Genomic DNA, 22,136 nt, shown 5'->3' with positions numbered 1-22,136 from the left:
ACTCAGTAGAATGGTTGAAAGAAGCAAGAAGAATGTAAGACAAGACAATGGCCAGAGATAGAACTTGGAAGAATGCCAGTATTTAAGGGGTGAGAAGAGGAAAGGGCTGTAGTAAAAGATGAAGAATGGCTCCAGAGGCAGGCCAAGAAGCAGTCAAATCAATGAAGCCAAGAGTGGAGAGTGTTGAGAACTGACTGCCAGATTGAGTACGGACCGCTGTGTTTAGCAACACAGAGATCACAGGGAATGTTCAATTTTGGTGGTAGAGACAAAAGCCTGTTTAAGAGAGAACAATCTGTTCCCTCTGCTTAAAGGTGGGGCTCCTGCACAGGCCCGTCTCCTTTAATTGGTGCAGTGAGTTCATGCAGAACTGGGGGAAGACAACAGAGGACGCTACTTGCCATCTGCAACCAGGTCCTTTTGGGCCAGACTAGGCCACGGTTTCAGTGGAGTGGGGTAGGGGAAAGGACCCCTTAACCTCTTTTACTGTTTTCTTTGGAGCAGAAATTGAGGGCCCATGGAGACATCCAATTGCAACCTTTTACTTTATTTGGGACAATGATACACAGCTTTTTCCCTAACCTGTTTATAGATACACACATTTATGGAAAGAATAAGCAAACACTTCTAGGTTAAGTTCATAGTTTAAAAAAAAAAGAATGAGCAAACACTTAGTTTCTCAAACTTAAGGATTTTGGACAAGGAAACTTTAGACACAGCCTAATTATCAAACAAAAAGAAACGTTCAACAAAGAGCCTTTAGATAGTGCCAGGCCTTCCTTCCTCTTTACAATTGCAGCCCATCTTCTAGAATCTAGACAGAGACTATGGGCTGTGATTGTCCTCACTTCTTAATCCCATTCGCTCCCAGCACAGAATAACTCAGTGGATGCTGCCCAGTAACGAACTATCCCTCCCAGGGGTGGTTCATCCACTGAGTTATTCATTCAGGGAAACTTCCTGAGACCTCTGTCAACACTGGAGAGATTTCACTGTCACCTGGAGACAACTGCCTGGATTGTTGCTGTTGGCCTGGGAAAAAAGTAAACATCTCTCACGCTGGACTGGCATTGCAAAAATCCACCTGTTAGGTGACAGCAAATATTATGTGAAGCAAGAGGAACAGGACTTAATTTTAATTTCAGTAGAATAAAAATTAGGAAAAATTGTGCTTTAGAAGAGTACTTAATAGGATAGAGGACTATCTTTGGATGAAATATCTTGTTTTGTTTTTCTAAGGAAATAATAAATATTCCACCATCTTTTTAATGTTAAGCACTGAAAATAAAGTGGGGAGACTAGGAAAACTTACTACTTAAAATCTGAGAACAGATTCGTAAGAGTGTTCCTCGGACCTTCCCCCCATCCCCACCCCCAATTCACATTCCACTGGAAATAAGATGGGTGTGGCTCTGTCCAGAAGTACAACATAGAAAAGGTAACTGATGCTTTCTTTCTAGATGTATTTTTATGGAAAATCTTCCCTGGAACCAACAAAACAGGAAGAATAGTGTTCTCTTTTCTCACTTCTAGAAGTTATGGTCCTGGATCCTAGGGACCTGAGTTGGAATCCCAGTTCTGCTATCTTCTTGGCTTGTGGACAATTGAGACTCTCTGAGTCTCAATTTTCTTACCAATCAAGTGGTTATAATATAGTCTACCTATAGGGTAATTGTGAAGATTTAATGATATAATATACACAGAACAGCCAATAGAGTACAAAATTAAATGTTAGGTTCCCTCCCCATCCAGGGCAAAGGTTTGAGGTGGGAAGAGGTTCAGTGACATCTCTCCAATTTAAATTCACCCATTCTGGTCTTTCCTTTTTCCTGGGTTGGGAGAACTGACTGGGTTGACCCAACTGGTACCAGCTCCAAGAAAAATGGAATAAACTGGGGGTGGGGATGAGGCAAGAATGTCCTTTCCCTGGCTTGCTTGCCGCCTGAGTCAGATTGCATCCAAGAAAGTTCTGAGGTCAAAGCTATAGGTCAGGTCTAGAATGGGTCACCAGGGAAAAGGGGCATGAGGAGTTGTGTGTGGCCAAGAGAGAGGCGGGTAGCAAAGGCATGAAGTAGTGTATGCAAAGGGCACCAGAAACTTGTCCGCATGAAAATCTCAATCCCATAGCAAGTCAGATTCTCTTCAGGGGACTTGGGCAGAATGAAGAGAGTCAGTCACACCTGTGAATCTGGTTATTGGTGCCCAGAGAATCTCTGAGGATGGGTTCTGTGTTTGCCACCACATGACACATCCAGTTTCTATTTTTCTCCACTTTTCCTTTTAAGGCCAATGCAACTTGGTCGTCAAGAACAGGGTAATTCACAAGTGTCTTCTGCTGAGCTAGACTGAGGCACCTGGGAACATCACAGGGAGTCATGAAAATAGTTCAAAAAGAAGAAACATAGTCACAGATCGCTAAGCAGAGACAGCAGCTGAAATTTCCTATAGGATTTCCAGAGAAAGCTTCAGGCAATGTGAGATACAGAGTCTGATCCACGAAGCAGAGCCACAGAGAGAGAACATCTCTGCGAGCAGAAGCCACGGCTGATATTCAGAAGCACAGTCCAGAATGGGGAAGAGGCAGCCTAGTGTAGCAGTGCAGGGCACGGACTTGGGGATGAGGCTGACCCAGGACTGTTCTTCCATGAACTAGAACAAGTTCCTTAAGCTCATCCAGCATGCTCATCTTTAAAAGACAAGTAAAATGAAACAGGCACTAAAAATTCTCTGGAAGGACACATTAGAAACTAACGTCAGTGATTCCATTTTAGAAGACTGCACAGATGGAGACAGAGAAGGGAAAGACACTTTTCACTTTACAGTTTGATACATTTTCATTTTTGAACCAGGTGGACAGGTGATGATAATTTATACCTTATAAGATTACACAGTCCTGACAGATGGTATTTATATATATTTGCTGTTATTGTTGTTAACACAGGAACACTGACTGGGTCATCTGTCAGTGTTTTTAGCCTTTACACAGGCAGCAGTCTCTTTATCACATTTCTAAGCAGTGCCTTACACACAGCAGCCTTACGTTATGTTTATAATCAATGGTATAAGTTCAGCCCCTTAAAAGCAGTCTTGTAAATGGGTAAAATGAATAAATAAGTACCATCTGCAAGTTAGATTGTAAAATGGATTGTTTTTATTTTAACAAATTTTAGAGAATTCAATTTTATTATTATTATTATTTTTTAAGATGGAGTCTGGCTCTGTCACCCAGGCTGGAGTGCAGTGGCACGATCTCGGCTCACTGCAACCTTCAGCTCCCGGATTCAAGTGATTCTCCTGCCTCAGCCTCCCAAGTAGCTGGGATTACAGGTGCGTGCCACCACGCCCAGCTAATTTTTGTGTTTTTGGTAGAGACAGGGTTTCGCCATGTTGGCCAGGCTGGTCTTGAATTCCTGACCTCAAGTGATCTGCCCGCCTTGGCCTCCCAAAGTGCTGGGATTACAGGCATGAGCCACTGTGCCAGGCTGAGAATTCAATTATTGACTGTGGCAGTTTGAAAATTTTTTCTCAATTTTTTTATTTTGATAAATTTCAAACCTTCAGAGAAATTTCAAGAATAGTGTAGTGAAAGGTCATATAACCTTCACCTATCTTCATCAATTTTTTTTAAATTGTAATTATTATTTTTTATAGAGACAGCGTCTCCCTATGTTTCCCAGGCTGGTCTCAAACTGCTGGGCTCAAGGAATCCTACCTCCTCAGCCTCCCAGAGGGCTGGGATTACAGGCATGAGCCACCCACCATACCTGGCCCACCAATTGTTAATATTTTGCCACATTTGTGTTCTCTCTTTCATATACAGGCACAGACACATATATACATATTTTTTTTTCTGAACTATTTGAAAGTTAGTTGCAAACATGACACTTTTATCTCTAAATACTGTACTTCAGCATATGTCTTCTGAGTACAAGGACATTCCCCCATATAACCACAATAATCAAACCCAGGAAATTTAACTATTACCTAAGACTATTATCTAACTATAGTCCATATTCAAATTTCCCCAAGTATCTAGTAATGTCCTCTATACCTGTTAACTTATTGAGGATCTTGCATTGCATTTGTCTCTTTTAGTCTAGATTTAAGTACCTTTGTTTTGTCATTATGACATTGACTATTTTGAAGAGTTGAAGTCAGGTTCCATCCTCCCATCCCTATCGCAATGTCCTTCAATTTGTATCTGTCTGATTCTTTCTTTCTATTTTTTTGAGACAGGGTCTCACTCTGTTGTCCAGGCTGGAATGCAGCAGTGCAATCTTGGCTCACTGCAACTTCGGCCTCCTGGTCTCAAGCGATCCTCCCACCTCAGTCTCTCAAGTAGCTAGGACTATAGTCACATGCCACCATGCCCAGCTAATTTTTGTATTTTTTGTAGAGATGGAGTTTTGCCATGTTGCCCAGGTTGGTCTTGAACTCCTAGGCTCAAGTAGTCTACATGTCTCAGCCTTCCAAAGTGCTGGGATTACAGGCATGAGCCACTGTGCCCAGCCTGATTGTTTCTTTATGATGAGACTCAGGTTAAATATTTTTGGCAGAATATTACAAATAAGTCATGTTTCAATGCCACCTTTTATAAATGTTTCTTATCCTTCTCTTTTAAATGTGTGAAGCCAGGAATAATAAAAAGTCTAATAATCTTATTTTCAAATATCTAGCAGGTCATTTATTGGCAAGTGACTCTTGTCATCACGTCATGATTGAGGCAGTAGGCTATTTATACAGATCAGTTGATTTAAGGGTGATCCACCTGGGATCTTCTCATTCATCAATCCATGGAATCCATGGAATCCTGCAGTGAGTTTCTGTTTCATGTTCCAAACAGAAATATGCTTCTGGTTATTCATGCTATATATATGACCTCTTGACAACTTTTGATCTTTTGCAGCCTTCTGAGAGAAATTGAGTGGATCCGGAGCCGGAGATATTGGCCTCAAGGTATGAGCCAGCAACATTCTGAGGGTTCTAGGAATGGCTTCTCATTATGGGAGCACTTGGTTAAATTAAACTACCACAGTGCTCAGAGTTCTAATACAGTGAGCTCTGCAATGTGCATGAATGCAGATAAATTACACAGGGCTAGAAGAATGGACTTGGCACCTCAGACAATTTCAGATAAATCAAAATGTGCTCCTGGAAAAGGGAAAAAGAAACCCATTATTTGCATATCTGCCGAGGAAAAGATACAACGGAAGACACAAAACAATGCTGAAATATGGAATGGCTCAGGAAAGGAAGCCTCAAAGAAAAAGACAGACTATTCCTCTAACATTTTATCTTTGGGTAAAATGAATGGTTTAATAAAGCTTTCAAGGCAAAGAATTTTGTTAGCTAAAAGTGAGAGTGGAGAAGGCGAAATCACCACCATTTACCACCATCCCCTGCCATGGCCTGTTAGCACAAAAAACCCTGGGGAATCTGAGTTCATATCAGAAAAGTGGCTTTTTCATAGCCCAGATTATATTTCAATATCTCAGAAGTCTTTTTTGCAGAGAAGACTTCACATTGAAACAAAACTGTTGAAGACCTCAAATGATATTAATAAAGAATAAAAATGTATCATGGGCTTTTTGACATCTGTTTTTTCCACTTGTCTTTAATTAGAACTCTTTTATTGGATATTTTGTTCTGAAGTACACAGGAAAGATAATAATCAAGGTCTAGAAATATGATTATTTAGGCACTTAAACACTGTAGCTCATTTTACTTAAGGAGAACAATTTTTAGGTGATTCACATTTCTATGGTAGGTTGATCTCATAGTGTTCCATGTTTCTATGTTGATCTCATAGTGTTCCATATCCAAAAGTATACAGAAGCAATGTTATTAAAATTCTAATTGTATTATTTTTGCATTGCTGTAGTTTATCTATTTTGAATTTATGAATTAATTTTCCATGTGAACAAAATTTACAATTGCTATCACCAACCCTTTTTATGAAACATGAATTAAAAAATATATAATTTGGCATAAAACTAAAACCATAAAGTAAGTTTAAAGTACCAGAGCCCGTGTATTTGATATCATATGTTTTAAACATTTTATTGTCTCATTTTATCAGTGATTTGTAAAACATTAACCATTAACTGTTAAGGATTACTTATTGGCTACTTTCTTCCCTGTCACCCACCTAAATCCTACATACTATATGTTAGCAGGCCAAATGGAAGAATGGGTTCAGTTGTGTGGTTTTAGGAAAGTTATTTCATCTTTCTTGGCCTCGGTTTCATTACTGTCAGCCTTCTGTATCTGCAGGTTTGCATTCGTGAATTCAACCAACCATGGATAAAAATATTAGAAAAAAAATCAACAATGAAAAGTAATACAAATAGAAAATACAGTATCACAACTATTTACAGAGCATTTATATTGTATTAGGTATGAAAAGTAATTGAGGCCTGGTGCATTGGCTTGCACCTGTAATCCCAGCACTTTGGGAGGCCAAGGTGGGCGGATTGCTTGAGTCCAGGAGTTCGAGACAAGCCTGGGCAACATGGCGAGACCCCGTCTCTACAAAAAAATACAAAAATTAGCTGGTCATAGTAGTTCACGCCTGTAATGTCAGCTACTCAGGAGGCTGAGGTGGGAGGATCGCTTAAGCAGAGGAGGTCGAGGCTGCAGTGCACTGCGATCATACCACTGCACACCAGCCTGGGTGACAGAGAAAGACTCTGTCTTAAAAAAAAAAAAAGTAAACGAGATGGTTTAAAATATATAGAAGTATGTGTGAACGCAAATACTAGCCATTTTATATAAAGGACTTGAGCATCGCAGATTTTGGTATGTAGGTATGGGGCAGGTGTTCTGGAACCGATTCTCGGCAGGTATAGAGGGATTGACTATATTATAAAATTGGAGAAATTATGGAGTCTGCTTTTCAGGATTACTGAGAGGATTACATGAGATACTGCATACAGCAAGCCTTCAATAAATGGTAGTTTAAACCCAGATGCCACCTTTTTCCATGAAACACCTCCAGACCCCTCCATCCCACAACTGGAGCATACACTAATGCCTTGGGTTATTTGTCTTAAACTGTGTTCCACCCATTTCACACAAGCCAGTATGGTCTCCTTGGCAGAGTGCCAGCCTTGAGGGCCATTCCCCCTACTCCACCTGCTCAAAATTAAGTAACCACAGGACAGCTTGGGAAGTCCTTGCTGCCCGGCGATTTTCAGCAGGGTTCTGGCTGGGCCACATCAGTCTTTCCTGCAGAAGCTCTGTCTGACTCAGTCCACACAGAATTGCCCCCAGGCAGGGAGGTTGCGGTTCATTTGGCTTTAGTGGAACCACAGGCACAGGACGGGTGGAGCCTAGCAGGTTTGAGAGAAGACCTGTGCACCGAGCCGTTAGCGTGGGCAGGGGCAGGAGCTGGGTGACCATGTTCCAATGACCTCTGCCGCCAGGCGGAAACCTAGGCGGGGGGCGGGCATTGGCCTTCCAGGCTGTGTAATGGGAGGGCCCTTCAAACTTACTGAGGTCTTAAGGGGCTGGGATCCTCCAGCCGACATCAGCCCATGAGTGGAACCTCGGCCCAGCCACCCACTCACAGGTCCTCCTGGATAAATTTAAGCTGGGGATCGGGGACGTCTCAGAGGGGCCCCACGATCCAGGGGAGGTCCAGACTGCCATTAATTAGACTGCCAGAGGCCATTAATGCGGAGAGAGGTCACCTTCTAGGGCCGGGGCCAGAGCAGCTGGGGTGGGAGGGGCGCTGTCCTTGTGGCCAGAGCTGGGGGTCAGTCCCAGAAGGCAGGACGAAGGTGCGGCGGAGCTGGGCGGGCGGCGCTGGGGTCGTACCTCATCATTCCATCCCATGTGGCCTGCGCGCCACCACACCACACGGCCACCCCCGCGCCACCCTGAAATTGACCGCAGCAGGCTGGGCGTGGGGCCCCCGGCCCGGCCCCGCCCCGCCCCGTCTCCGCCCCCGTCCCAGACCCGCCCACTCCCCATCGACCCCGCCCCCGTTAGACCCCGCCTCCGGCTCCGCCCACTCCCCGCCCCGCAGCGGCGGGAGGGCAGGCCTGCGCCGCCACGTGTTCCGACGCAGGAGCTGCCCTCCTGCAGGGCAGAGCGCGGGTAGATCTTGGGCCGGGCAGCAGCAGTCGCAGAGCGGCGCGGCGGCGGTGGCGGCAGCAGGCAGCAGGCATGACCATGGCAGCGGCGGCGGTGGTGGCACGCGGGGCCGGGGCGAGGGCAGCGACAGCGGCGGCTTTGCGGGGTGGCTGCGGGACCGCGGCTCGGGGGCGGCCGTGTGCGGGCCCCGCCCGGCCCTTGTGCACTGCACCCGGGACCGCCCCGGACATGAAGCGCTACCTGTGGGAGCGCTACCGGGAGGCGAAGAGAAGCACAGAAGGTGAGTGAGGCGGCGACCCCGCCCCGGCGCCTGGGGCCCCTCCTGCGCGCTCAGCTGGGAAGCGGGCGCCCTAGGACCCGGACCAGCCCAGCTGCGGACCTCCAGGGCCTCCAGTCGCGAACCCCGGTGCCCACACCCCCAGCCGCAGGCAGCATCGCTCCTGCGGAGCGACTCGGGGAAACGGGGAAAAATGCGCTCTAGAAACTTCACAACTCGCGCCTTTCCCCGGTCGGGAAAGCTGTTGTATATATTCTTGGGATTTTTAGCCCGAAATCTGCATCTGAGGGGCTTTGGGCCGCGCGGGGCTGGGGTTCCTCAGGCCTCCCTTGGGAGCCGGCCACTCCCACGCACCGTTAGGTGTTGTTACTCATCAATAGTAATAATAGTAACAGCCGAGTCGGGCTGGCGCAGAGATGCCCAAGAGCGGGGCTGCTGGGGAGGTGGCCGATCCCGAGGCTGGTCTGTTTTCCTTTTGGTGGGGGTGGGTTGGGATGGGATGGGATGGGATGGGATGGAATGGGATGGAATGAGATGAGATGAGATGAGATGAGATGAGATGAGATGAGATGAGCTGTGCGGTGTTTGAAAGAGGAGAGGTCCAGGTGGGGAAGGTTCTGGGTTATCCATTAACCTCGGTGAGGAGGGGATTCTAAGGCTGTGAATGGGAACTTCATGGCCAGGTGCACATAAAATGAGCTTGGCTCGGTTGTTACTACTAATGAACTAATAAATACCAGTGCCGGGCACGTAGATTATCTCTAAATCGTTCCTGTAATCTACGAAGGAGGTTCCACATCCCCATTCTATAGATGGGAAAGGCGAGACTCAGGTTTAAATGACCTGGCCAAGGTGACGCCTGAATTTAGGGACTGTCTCAGCTCCTAACCCACTGTCCTGTTTCCTGTGCTCCGTTGACCATTTGGGAACCAATAATCCATTGTCGCTGTTGCTTCCAAGGAGGATTCAGAACCGAAATTTGTATATTGGTTACTTCTTGTTGTGGAGGTGGCACATAGATAGGGAGAGATTATTTGGTGAGCAAGAACGTTTTATAGGATCACATTTTCCATTTTTTTTGGCCAGAAGTCAGTTTAATGAAAAAAGCAAATTGGAGTGATTTTCAGAGGGGACGTAAAATGACTAGCAATGCAGAATTCTATGAAATGGTGGCTTACTTTCTTAGTTTCCCTTTGCCAAGAGTTAATTTTGCTTTGGCTTTTGAAGCTGTTGTGTGGTATGGTGGAAAGAAGACTGGCTTTGGAGACATTGGGAATTTTGCAGGTCTTAAGAGATGAAAGGAATATAGAAGATTATCAAACCCAGCTTTTGGGCAGGAAAGTTTTTTTTTTAACTTGTAATTCTTATTGAGATAATTGTATATTTACATGCAGTTTAAGAATTAATAGAGGGGCCAGGTGTGAGCTCACGCCTGTAATCCCAGCACTTTGGGAGGTTGAAGCAGGCAGATCTCTTGAGCCCAGGACCAGCCTGGGCAACAAAGGAAAACCCAATCTCTACAAAAAAATGCAAAATTTAGGCAGGCGTCGTGGCTCACACCTGTGGTCCCAGCTACTTGGGAGGCTTGAGTTGGGGAGGATCGCTTGAGCCTGGAAGGTTGAGACTGCAGTGAGTTGAGATTGCAACACTGTACTCCGGCCTGGTTGGCAGAGCCAGACCCTGTGTAAAAAATAAACAGAAAAGGACTAATAGAGGGAGATCTGGCATACACTTTATCCAATTTCTCCCAGTGGTAACATTTTGCAGAACAGTAGTACATTATCACAACAGTATATATTGATACAGGCCACAGATCAGAGTGTCATTTTATTTGTACTTGTGTGTGCACATGCATGAGAGCACAGATGTATTTCTGTACAGTTTTCTCACATGTAGGTTCATGTATCCACCACCACAGTCAAGGGACTGAACAGTTCCTCATAAAGATCCCTCATTCGGTCTTTATAGCCCCACCCATCTCCCCCATCATGTTCTCCCTTGTCCCCAATCCCTGGAGCACTATTTGTTCTCCATTTCTAAAATTTTGTCATTTCAAAAATGTTAGGCTGATGGAGTCATACAGTATGTAACCTTTTGGAGTTGTTTTTTTTCACCAAGTATAATTTCCTGGAGTTTTATCCAGTGTTATGTGTATTGTATCAATAGTGCATTCCTTTTTGCTGTTATTTCATGGTATGTACATAAAACAGTTTAATTGTTTGTTTAACCACAGATTAACTCTATTGAACCATTTACCCATAGTTCAAAGGACATTTGGGTTGCTCCCAGTCTTTGGCTGTTACAAATAAAGATGTTGTAGACATTTGTGTACAGGTTTTTGTGTGAACATACATTTTCATTTCTCTAAATGCCAAAGAGTACAATTGCTGGGTCAAATGGCAATTGCATGTTTAGTTTTATAAGAAACTGCAGGCAAAATTTTTGCCATCCTGATTTATGGATAAGGTTTGTTGCTTGCTGCCTGTGAGAACTGGGAGGTCAAAATAGGCTTGAGTTTCTTCATCTGTAAAATGGGGCTGCAGGTAGCAGTAGCATCATAGGGTTCAGGTGAGCAATGGATGAGTCCATCCATGAAAGGCATTTAGGACAGTGCCTGGCGCATGAGACAGCTGAAGCATGGGATGGGGAAGATCACCTTGTGATATGGTTTGGCTGTGTCCCCACCAAAATCTCAACTTGAATCATATCTCCCAGAATTCCCATGTACTTTGGGAGGGACCCAGGGGGAGGTAATTGAATTATGGGGGATAGTCTTTCTTGTGCTATTCTCATGATAGTGAATAAGTCTTGAGATCTGATGAGTTTATCAGGGGTTTCCGCTTTTGCTTCTTCCTCATTATTCTCTTGCTGCCGCCATGTAAGAAGTGCTTTTCACCTCCCGCCATGATTCTGAGGCCTCTGTGGCCATGTGGAACTATAAGTCCAAGTAAACCTCTTTTTCTTCCCAGTCCCAGGTGTGTCTTTATTAGCAGCATGAAAATGGACTGATACAGTAAATTGGTACCAGTAGAGTGGGGTGTTGCTGAAAAGACACCTGAAAATGTGGAAGCGACTTTGGAGCTGGGTAACAGGCAGAGGTTGGAACAGTTTGGAGGACTCAGAAGAAGACAAGAAAATGTGGGAAAGTTTGGAACCTCCTAGAGACTTGTTGAATGGCTTTGACAAAAATGCTGATAGTGATATGAACAATAAGGTCCAGGCTGAAGTAGTCTCAGATGTAGGTGAGGAACTTGTTGGGAACTGGAGCAAAGGTAACTTTTGTTATGTTTTAGCAAAGAGGTTGGCGGCATTTTGCCCCTGCCCTAGAGATTTGTGGAACTTTGAACTTGAGAGAGATGATTTAGGGTATCTGGTGGAAGAAATTTCTAAGCAGCAAAGCATTCAAGAAGTGACTTGGGTGCTATTAAAGGCATTCAGTTTTAAAAGGGAAACAGAGCATAAAAGCTCCGAAAATTTGCAGGCTGACGATGCAGTAGAAAAGAAAAACCCATTTTTTTTTGAGGGGAACTTTAAGCCGCCTGCAGAAATTTGCATAAGTAGCAAAGAGCCTAATGTTAATTCCCAAGACCATGGGGAAAATGTCTCTAGGCCATGTCAGAGACCTTCATGGCAGTCTTTCCCATTACATGCTTGGAGGCCCAGGAGGGAAAAGTGGTTTAGTGGGCTGGGCCCAGGCCCCATGCTGTGTGCGCTGTGTCCTAGCTGCTCCAGCTGTGGCTGGAAGAGGCCAATGTAGAGCTTGGGCTGTGGCTTCAGAGGGTGGAAACCCCAAGCCTCGTCAGCTTCCACATTGTGTTGAGCCTACGGGTGCACCGAAGTCAAGAATCGAGTTTGGGAACCTCTACCTAGATTTCAGAAGATGTATGGAAACACCTGGATGCCCGGGCAAAAGTTTGCTGCAGAGACGGGGCCCTCATGTAGAACTTCTGCTAGGGCATTGCGGAAGGGAAATGTGTGGTGGGAGCCCCCACACAGAGTCCCTACTGGGGTACTGCCTAGTGGAGCTGCGAGAAGAGGGCCACTCTCCTCCAGACCCCGGAATAGTAGATCCACCGACAGCTTGCACCTGCAGAAGCCACAGACAGACATTCGACGCCCACCCGTGAAAGCAGCTGGGAGGGAGGCTGTACCCTGCAAAGCCACAGGAGCGAAGCGGCCCAAGAGCATGGGAACCCACCTCTTGCATCAGTGTGACCTGGATGTCATGCCGATACAGGATGCATAAACATTCACACGTCCCAAAATCCCAAGTTAAAAAAGGAAAAAGGAAAACATTCCAATTGAGGGACTTTCTACAAAGTATATAACCAGTACTCCTCAAAACTGTAGGTCATCAAAAACGGGGAAAAGTCTGAGAAACTGTTTTAGCCTAAAGAAGCTGAACAGACATGACAACTAAATGTAGTCCATGTAGAGACCTGGAGTCAAAGGAGATCATTTTGGAGCTTTAAAATTTGACTGCCTGGCTGGATTTTGGACATGCATGGGGCCTGTAACCCCTTTGTTTTGGCCAATTTCTCCCATTTGGAATGGCTCTATTTACCCAATACCCGTACCGCCATTGTATCTGGGAAGTAACTAGCTTGCTTTTGATTTTACAGGCTCATAGGCGGAAGGGACTTATCTTGTCTTAGATGAGACTTTGGACTGTGGAGTTATGGTTAGTGCTGAAATGAGTTAAGACTTTGGGGTACTGTTGGGAAGGCATGATTGGTTTTGAAATGTGAGGACATGAGATTGGAGGGACCAGGGGCGGAATGATGTGGTTTGGCTCTGTGTCCCCACCCAGATCTCATCTTGAATACCATCTCCCAGATTTCCCACATGTTGTGGGAGGGACCCAGGGGGAGGTAATTGAATCATGGGGGCTGGTCTTTCCCATGCTATTCTCGTGATAGTGAATAAGTCTCACGAGATCTGATAGGCTTATCAGGGGTTTCCGCTTTTGCTGCTGCTTCATTTTTCTGTTGCTGCCGCCATGTGAGAAGTGTCTTTCACCTCCCGCCATGATTCTGAGGCCTCCCCAGCCATGTGGAACTGTAAGTCCAGTTAAACATCTTTTTTCTTCCCAGTCTCAATTATGTCTTTATCAGCAGCGTGAAAATGGACTGATATACCGTTGGACCAGAGTTTGGGCTTTGATGTGTGACAGTCCGAGGAGGATTTTGGAGTATGACAGCCGTGTTACTTTCCTCTCTGACCTTGGTTTCCTCCATTGCGATATGGGATTAAGGTGGAGATTTTTAGTGTGTGCTTGGCACCCAGCAGATGCTCAGTAGATAGTAGCTATTATTATTAATTATGAAATAACTATCAGTCTTAGCACATTTAGTAAGAGGTGGAGGTGGGTTATTTAGCTCTAGAGTCTGGGTCTCCTTGTGATTAGGGCGGTGCCATAACTAGCTTTGTGTCCTTGAGCAAGTCACCAAATCCCTCCTGGCTTTGGTTTCTGTCTCTGTAAAATGAGGCCACTGCACTAAATAATATCCAAGTCTTTTTAAGTGTTTGAAGTATTCACGTGTTAGAGGTACAGGATTCGGTGGACCCTATCTTCTCTTCATGCCCACAGCACAAATGCATGTGGTCCCTATTACCCCTGAGAATGTGGGGTCATTCATGAGGCTTTTTCTTCTTTGTCTTGTCCAGAACTGCACCATTCCTTCTCTCCTCTTGTTGAAGTCTGTGTGAATTTATGTGCCCAGCTTGAGTTCATCCAACAAGCATTTATTAAGCACCCAGCAGTGGGTTTGAAGGCTGCTGGTTCACAGTTGGATGAGTCTGATAGGGAGGGTTCAACAGCGGCTGAGTTACTGCCTGTACAGAGCTGGGGACCAGTGTTGCATGGATGAGGATTCTGGTAAACAGATGAGTGACATTCTACCTCAGGGGAGGCAAGCAGCGAGGCCCAGGGGCTCAGGGATGCGGGAAATGTGTCTCTGAGGCTGACCCTTGAGCTTTGTCTTGTAGGAAGGCACAGTCAGAAGAAGTACCGATGAATTCATTTAAAACATGTAGATCTCCCCACCCCCAGTTGCAAGAGGACAAAATAATTTTATTTTCTTACTTTCTTTCTGGCCACTTGATCTGTTTCTTTCATCCAAACAATCTGTTCAGGTGTCTTCCCTTTAAAAGGCTCCCAGAGTGAAGCCTGCACAGGGAAAGGATGCTTTTTAAAGCTTTGTTTTATCCTTTCTCTCCCATCCTTCTTGTCATTTTAATTAAAAAGTTTTTTTAAAAACTTTATTTTTTAGATCAGCTTTAGATTTACAGAAAAATGACATAGTTTTTGTAAGCCCTACACCCATTTCTCTTATTAATCTCTCACATTCCTATATTTGTTCCAATTAATGAACCAATACTGATACATTATTCATTGTTTACTCAGTTTTCCTTCGTATTTACCTACCCTCCTTTTTTTCTTCCAGCCTGCCATCCAGGATAGCACACTACATTTAGTTGTCGTGTCTGTTCGGCTTCTTTAGGCTGTAACAGTTTCTCAGACTTTTTCCTGTTTTTGATGACCTACAGTTTTGAGGAGTACTGGTTACATACTTTGCAGAATGTCCCTCAATTGGAATGTTTTCCTTTTTCCTTTTTTAACTTGGGATTTTTGGATGTGTGAATGTTTATGCATCCTGTATCAAACTCAGCTCAAGAAAAGCTTCTTTATATTTTTAGGAAAAGAAATAACTGGTTTAAACCTGTAGCAAAAACATTAGCTGCTGCAGTTTTCCCCTGGAGCAGTGGTTCTCAGTGGGAGCTGGAGGGGCAGTTTTGTTCCCCAAGGGATGTTTGGCAATGCCTGGAGACCTTTTTGTCACAGCCAGGGGAGAGGGGTGCTGCTGGCCTCTAGAGGCCAGGGTTGCTGCTAAACATCCTACAGTGCACAGGGCAATATCCCACAACAAAGAATTATCTGGCCTCAACTGTTGGTAGTGCCAAGGTTGAGAATCCTCGTTCTAAAATGAATTCTAAGAAATCTTCGTGTGATCATAATTGAAAGGGCTGGATATGCCTATGTGTGGTCTCTTCTTTTCTGTTGTGCTTTAATGTTGCGTGTGTCTTCTTTGAACTCAAGCTCTGGCCTTCCAGGTGTGCTCATCAGATACTTGGCCTGTCCTGTTAGGTACAGAATGGAAGCCTTCCTACTCCTCCAAGACGGGTTGCTCCAACCTTATATTTTGTTAGTCGCACGGATTTTTTTTTTTTTTCATTAGAATTAATCTTGGAGCCTGGTTTATTTAGAATGTTTCACTACTTGGCTGGGGTTATAGGCTGTATTAAATTGTGGAAAGAAGTATGGGGATTAGTTAGAAGCTTTTATAGGGTGTTGAAAGATTTATTCAAAGTTCTGGGTGGAGACCATTTACTAATCAGTCAAAAATTATGTGCTGTATTTAGTGAGGACTGTGTCTACATGATGATGTAAGCTTAGCGTGTATAAGCATAAGACACAAGGATAATAATAATTCTATATAATATGTAATATTAAATACAGTGAATAGTAATAGTAAGCATAAGTTCCTCAAGCAACTGCATTGGGTTAAAGATACTCTTGAGATAATTTTAAAATTAGACCAATATTTCTCAGACTGTTTCACAATCTTTTGAGAGATGTGGTTAAAGAGATGTAGAAAATACATGTTAAAGAAGCTTCTTTGTAGCTGGGCTTTTCAGAGCTAGCTTCGGAGCTAGTGAGTCAGAGCCTTTAAAATGAATGAATCTCTAAAATGAATGACGGGGGTAGTAGGTTTAGTGCTTCCCAAGTAAATTTGACTGTGGAGGCCCCTTTTTGAGGTGATAAGTCTATTTTGAGGCTTGACAGAATATACTTGGGAAGTTATAATAATATGCCTAATAAGAACATATGTTGATAATACTGAAAGATGCTTACAACCAGAAATGTGCTTTTTCTACGCAGCAGGGATATAGAGTAATGGAGTCATAGGACCCACTGAGAATCTGGAGAAAGCTGTGTGTTTTTTCTTTATAAAAAGACACATTTGCAGTATTACACATAATACTTGAGCACACACAAATGATTTTGTATATAACTTCAGGGGATTCCAGGGGAATCTTAGTGTCTTCTGGTGACCCAGTGCTCATTTAGTGCTTCTGTTACGCTTTAGGAAAGTTTGAAGGATTGAGCTGTTATGCTCAATGATCCTTATGGAGGCAGAACTCAGCATGGGGACTGTTTTTTAGATTTAAATTTGCTGCTGGGTCAAGAAGCCTGCCTGGAATAATGATATTTTTTGGCCTGACTTTTGCTGCTGAGTGTTATGATTTTCTGTAATTGCCGTGGAGGTGGCTCGCTGATCTACCAGTTGAAAGCTAGAGTTCATTTTCCCCTTTCATTAGGGTGTAAATTCTGGGTAGGGTAAAGAGGAAGTGAAAGGAGAAAAAATACAAAAAGGAGATTAAATAATTTTTTTGCCAGCTTTTGAAGGTAAGACAAATTAAAAAAAAGAATTCAGTGGTCCTCAAACTGATAGGCACATCGGAATCACCTGGGAAGCTTGTTTAAAAATGGAAATTCTGAGGCCCTAACCCTGGAGATTCTGATTCCTAAAATGTGGAGGTAAGACCCGGGAATCTATATTTTTACAGGCCGGGTTTGGAAACCAATCTTTTATTGAACTCTTAAAGACATGTGGAAACAGATGTCCTCTAACCGTCAAGAGTTCTTTTGGACTTTGGCTTTCAGCAGTCTGGCAGACTAGATCGTCTAAAAACCTTTTTGTATAGAATACCCACACGCTGAAAAAAAATATAGAGGACTTTCTCTTGAAGTCATAACTGAACTCTGAGAAACTGGAGAAATCTCAAGGACTAATAATGAAGAGGAAGCCGAGGCCAGGCGTGGTGGCTCAGGCCTGTAATCCCAGAGCTTTGGGAAGCCGAGGTGGGCAGATCACTTGGGGCCAGGAGTTTGAGACCAGCCTGGGCAACATGGTGAAACCCTGTCTCTACTAAAAATACAAAAATTAGCTGGACGAGGTGGCATGAGCCTGTAATCCCAGCCACTTGGGAGGCTGAGGCGTGAGAATTGGCTTGAACCCGGGAAGTGAAGGTTGCAGTGAGCCGAGATCACACCGCTGTACTCCAGCCTGAGTGACAGATTGGGATTCTGTCTCAAAAAAAAAAAAAAAAAAAAAAAGAGGATGCTGAAACCCGAATGATGACCAGCCTTGAAGGTGTGACTGTTCTGGGAACACTTGTTGGCCTTTATTGGTCGTGCCTGCTGGGAGGGAAGACTAGGCATTGGGCGCACACACACACACTGTTGGAGACTCTCCTATAAAACCTGGTGGCCACAGAGTGCTTCCTTCCGTGCAGGGAGACAATAGAGAAACTTCTCTCTTTTGGTCTTTGCTCTAGATATTTTTTCTGTGTGTGGGGGGGCAGGTTTTGGAAGTGTCCCGTGACCTTGTAATCACAAGCTCGTCCTCACATGGATTTGGGTTTGAATTTATTCTTCTTGTATTGTCTGGCAATCTGTATGAGTCCATTCTTTTACATTGCTTTGAAGAAATACCGGAGACTGGGTAATTTATAAAGAAAGTGGTTTAATTGACTCACAGTTCCACATGGCTGGGGAGGCCTTGGGAAACTTAGAATTGTGGCAGAAGGCACCTCTTCACAGGGCATCAGGAGAGAGAATGAGTGCCAGCAGGGGAAATGCCAGATGCCTATAAAAGCATCAGATCTCATGAGACTCACTCACTATCACAAGAACAGCATGGGGGAAGCTGCCCCCATGATTCAGTTACCTGCTCCCGCCCTTGACACATGGGGGTTATGGGGATTACAATTCAAGGAGAGATTTGGGTGGGGACACAGAGCCAAACCATATCACAATCCCAACTGAGAAACTGAGTGATAGTGATCTGGGACTCCTGGTAGAAGCCAGTGCAAACTCTCTGGATAAATAGACCGTAAACCCAGGCCTCCTAGGATTCTCAAGATTAGATCTGAGCTTACAATCCAAAATTTAAAAATACACAAATAAGCCACCATAAGGGAGAACCAGCAGACTCAGCAGACAGCACAATTAATATGAATAGGACTTAAGATATTGGAATTTTTAGGTAAAGAATATATGTAGTGCTATCTATGAGTGTTTGAAACTTTTGGAGAAATAAGAGATGAAATGGAAAATGTGAGCAAAGAATATGAAACTACTAAAATGATCAGACAGGTTTTAAAAAGAACCAAATAGAAATTTTAGAAATTAAAGTTTCAATCTTTAAAATTAAAAGTTTAGTGGAATGATTTTAATTGGCAGATTAGAAAAAGAAGAAAAAAGAATTAGTGGTCTGGGGGATAACTCTGAGAACATTACCCAGACTATAATATAATCAAAGAGATGGATATTATGAAAACAGTTGACAGACTGATAGCGTGAGAGGTCAAACATATGTCTAATTGGAGTTCCAGCAGGAGAGATTGGGAAATGGGGGAGAGAAAACACTCAAAGAAAAAATTGCTCAGAGTTTTCCAAAACAAATGAAAGACAGAATCCTCAGATTTAGAATGCAAAGCAAATCCCAAGCAGTATGAATAAGAAGTAATATATACAAAAGACAAAGAGAATATCATAAAAGTAGCCACAAAGACCCAAAGGCATAGTAGTTAATAGTATAGACCATGGAGCAACATACCTGGGATCAAATCTTAACTTCACCATTTATAAGCCATGTGACCTTAGGCAAATGATGTCTGTGTGTCTCAGTTTCCTTATATGTAAAATGGGGCTAACAATAATACCTGTCTCCGAGGATTGGTAGGTTTAAATGAGTAAATGTATGTAGAGTTTTTAAAATAGCGCCTATTGCGTAGTAAGTTCCTTGTAAATGTCAACCACGATTATTGATAGTATTATTACTACAAAGGACTAGGAGACTGATAGAGTTTTGAACAGTGATAGCAGACCATTCAAGACAGTAGATCACCTCAAAGTGCTGAGAGAAAAATGTCAATTTAGAATTGTATATCTAGCTCAATCATTTAAGAAAGAGTGTAAAGAGACCTTTTTTTTTTTTCTGATTAAAAGCTAAGAGCTTTACCATCAAGGAACTCACTAAAGGAGGAACTTTTAAAGGATGTATATGTGTCAGGAAAAAAAATCCCAAAGGTCTTAGATGGAAGTGAAAATGGAGAAAAAAGAAATTGGTAGAGATGTGAATAAATCTAAACAAATATTGACAATGTTGAAATCAGTCCAAAAGTGGGTAGGAGAAAAGGTAAAAGACACAGAAAAAGCAAGAAATAGCATAGAATGTGATGGGGGAAATATTTCCAAATATATTAATAATCATGATAAACTCAGATTAAAAGACAGATTGTCAGATCAGATACAAGAAACATTCCAGCTGGATGCTGTTTATAAGAGATGTACTCCAAAACAAAGATGTAGAAAGGTTGAGATTAATAGAATGGGAAAAGATATCTTGGGTAAATGGTAACCAAAGAAAACCAGCAAGTTATAAATATCAAACAAATATTGAAATGGTATTAAAGGGAAATACATACTATAAGAAAGGTTGCAAACCACAGTTCATGGGCCAGTTGTAGCCTGATGTCTCTTTTTGTATGTTAAGTTTTATTGGAACATAGCCACACCCATTTGTTTCTGGTTCTCCTTTTGTGCTAGGATGTCAGAGCTGAGCAGTTGCAACAGAGACTATATGCAGAGCCCCAAATATTTACTAACTGACCCTTTATAGAAAACATGTGTTGTCTGCTGAACTAGAACTACAGAAATATACCTACATGGGTGACTCTCACTAGAATAATTTTGAGTAAAAAGGAAAAAGCAAGTATTGCAGGCATATACCAATTACAAAAGGTTTTAAAACACATAAAAATACTATAGATTACTTGTAGGGACACACATGTATGTGGTAAAAGTCTAGAGAAATGCAGGAGAGGCCGGGTTCAGTGGCTTACGCTTGTAATCCCAGCACTTGGGAAGGCCAAAGTGGGCAGATCACTTGAGGCCAGGAGTTCAAGACCAGCCTGGCCAACATGGTGAAACCCTGTCTCTACTAAAAATACGAAAATTAACTGGGCATGGTGGTGCATACCTGTAATCCCAGCTACTTGGGAGGCCGAGGCAGGAGGATCACTTGAAACTGTGTGGCAGAGTGTTGCAGTGAGCTGAGATCACACCACTGCACTCCAGCCTGGGCAACAGAGTGAGACTCCGTCTCCAAAAAAAAAAAATAAAAAGAAAGAAAAAATGCAGGAGAGTGGTAAACACCGAAATCTGGGTAGTGGTAATGTCAGAGGCAGGAGGAGCCTGCAGGTGAGGGTGGAAGGGATTTTATATCCCACTTGGATGGTAGGGATGTGGGTGTTCTTTGTATTATCTTGACCTTTCTTTATGTCTTAGAAATAGCAGGATATATTCTTTAAAAGTCTTCCCCATAGTTTAGGCATATGATGTTGATCCTGTGGTCGTACAAGAAAGTAGTAAAAAGATTTAAGGGAGAAACATGCCACATCATAACTTTCACATTTTCAGATAGGAAAGAAATGCCTAAAATAGGAGAACCTAAGACTCTGGCCAGTGGAGGGGCCTCTGGAGGTCATAGAGTTCAGTCCTCTGCTGGAAGAAGGAATCCCTTTTTCCATAGACTTTATTAGTGGCCATCTGGCATCTGTTTGAGCTTGTTGTGTGATCACAAGGCTGCCCATTTTATTTTGGATGGCTGAGTCACAGAGAGTACTTTTGATTCCCCTTCCATATGATAGTCGCTTAAATATGAAGGTGGTGATCATGCATCATCACTGCAACTCACCTTTGATTTGATCATTTTGGAAGCTCAACTTTGCTTTCACTCTAGTTTGTCAGTATCCCTTTGAAAGTGAACCATTTGTTCCTGACCATGTGTGGTCTGACTGGTTCATGGTGGAGGGAAGCAACTGGCTCTTCCTTGGTGAACAAACACTGTACTTCTGTAACTTTAAAAGTTAATTCGTGTTCAGTTTGTGGTCAGCCAAATCCTGACTTTGTCCTTCTTGTATTGACATGATGTAATTTTAGAGAAGGAAAACAAAAGCTTTAAAAAAATCTTCTTTGCAAATAAGTACTTAGAAGACAATGATAGAATTCTATTATTTTTTAAAAGTCAAATACTACATGTTATATCTAGGAGAATGCAGAGAGAAAGAGAGGCTAGCTGATTGATCAAGCTGGGTTTTATAGGAAATTTTTATACTTTAAAGGATTGGTCCTTAATTTGAGTAACTCTTTTTCACTTCACTAGGGTTTTGAGGAACTGTTTCATGATAAGTTAATTGATAAGATAATGATGTATAAACCTGAATATAATTTTAATTTGTATGTAGAGATGCAACTCTCTGCATAGACTGTAATATTTTGTTCTCATTCGAGCAGAAAAATCTACTTGAGAAACACTACTAGTGAATATTAATCCTTAGCTAAGGTAGCAGACCTTTCAAATGTTTTGCCCTCAGTACTCTTTTATACACTTTAAATTATTGAAGATCCTAGAGTTTCGGTTTATAGATTAGTCTCAAGTAGACTTTTAAATAATGTATTCTGCCCTTATGTTGATAGTGATTGTATTAGAAATTAAAACCCAGAGAATTTTAAGATATGTATTTATTGATTCATTTAATTAATTTATTTTTTAAATAAATTCCCGGGCTGAATTTATTTAAAATTCTGACTCTGACTCCCAGGCTGAAGTGCAATGGCATGATCACAGCT

At 43.0% G+C, this 22,136-nt stretch overlaps 1 protein-coding gene, 1 long non-coding RNA gene and 1 pseudogene across 15 annotated transcripts in view, besides 3 other annotated features; 2 read left to right on the top strand and 1 right to left on the bottom strand.

Annotated features, from left to right (window-relative positions):
- The window catches only part of TTC41P (tetratricopeptide repeat domain 41, pseudogene), an 86,463-nt pseudogene extending 80,886 nt beyond the window's left edge, over window positions 1-5,577 (top strand). Inside the window, exons 15-16 of the transcript NR_027249.1 lie at window positions 4,677-4,815; window positions 4,907-5,577. The product of NR_027249.1 is annotated as a tetratricopeptide repeat domain 41, pseudogene (transcript). The remainder of the gene's footprint in view (window positions 1-4,676; window positions 4,816-4,906) is intronic.
- LOC107984433 (uncharacterized) lies at window positions 527-7,944 on the bottom strand. The gene is made up of 2 exons (XR_001749292.2): window positions 7,819-7,944; window positions 527-5,151 (listed from the first exon to the last, which is right to left on the bottom strand). It is a non-coding gene; the product is annotated as an uncharacterized LOC107984433 (long non-coding RNA).
- Window positions 7,716-7,985: a silencer, noted in NCBI's record as "silent region_4782". NCBI's record gives its function as "represses an Ori minimal core promoter by ATAC-STARR-seq in GM12878 lymphoblastoid cells {active_cell/tissue: GM12878}" and the evidence as "EXISTENCE:reporter gene assay evidence [ECO:0000049][PMID:35858748]".
- Window positions 8,016-8,525: a silencer, noted in NCBI's record as "silent region_4781". NCBI's record gives its function as "represses an Ori minimal core promoter by ATAC-STARR-seq in GM12878 lymphoblastoid cells {active_cell/tissue: GM12878}" and the evidence as "EXISTENCE:reporter gene assay evidence [ECO:0000049][PMID:35858748]".
- Window positions 8,092-22,136, top strand: part of NT5DC3 (5'-nucleotidase domain containing 3) — a 94,920-nt gene continuing 80,875 nt past the window's right edge. For all 13 annotated transcript variants that reach the window (XR_001748758.2, XR_007063093.1, XR_007063092.1 and 10 more), the window contains exon 1: window positions 8,092-8,377. Coding sequence is in view for 4 of the 13 variants with exons in the window: in NM_001031701.3 (NP_001026871.1) it covers window positions 8,170-8,377 (208 nt within the window). In the remaining 9 variants the exon portion in view is untranslated. The remainder of the gene's footprint in view (window positions 8,378-22,136) is intronic.
- Window positions 16,814-16,983: an enhancer, noted in NCBI's record as "experimental_23460 CRE fragment used in MPRA reporter constructs". NCBI's record gives its function as "activates a minimal promoter by MPRAs in K562 erythroleukemia cells, with activity observed for the introgressed 12:104226206 variant allele {active_cell/tissue: K562}" and the evidence as "EXISTENCE:reporter gene assay evidence [ECO:0000049][PMID:34662402]".

This window comes from Homo sapiens, chromosome 12, assembly GCF_000001405.40.
Source record: "Homo sapiens chromosome 12, GRCh38.p14 Primary Assembly".
In the NCBI taxonomy this organism is placed as follows: domain Eukaryota; kingdom Metazoa; phylum Chordata; class Mammalia; order Primates; family Hominidae; genus Homo; species Homo sapiens.
Note: the sequence above shows the minus strand (reverse complement) of the source record. Positions and strands in the feature narration are given on the sequence as shown.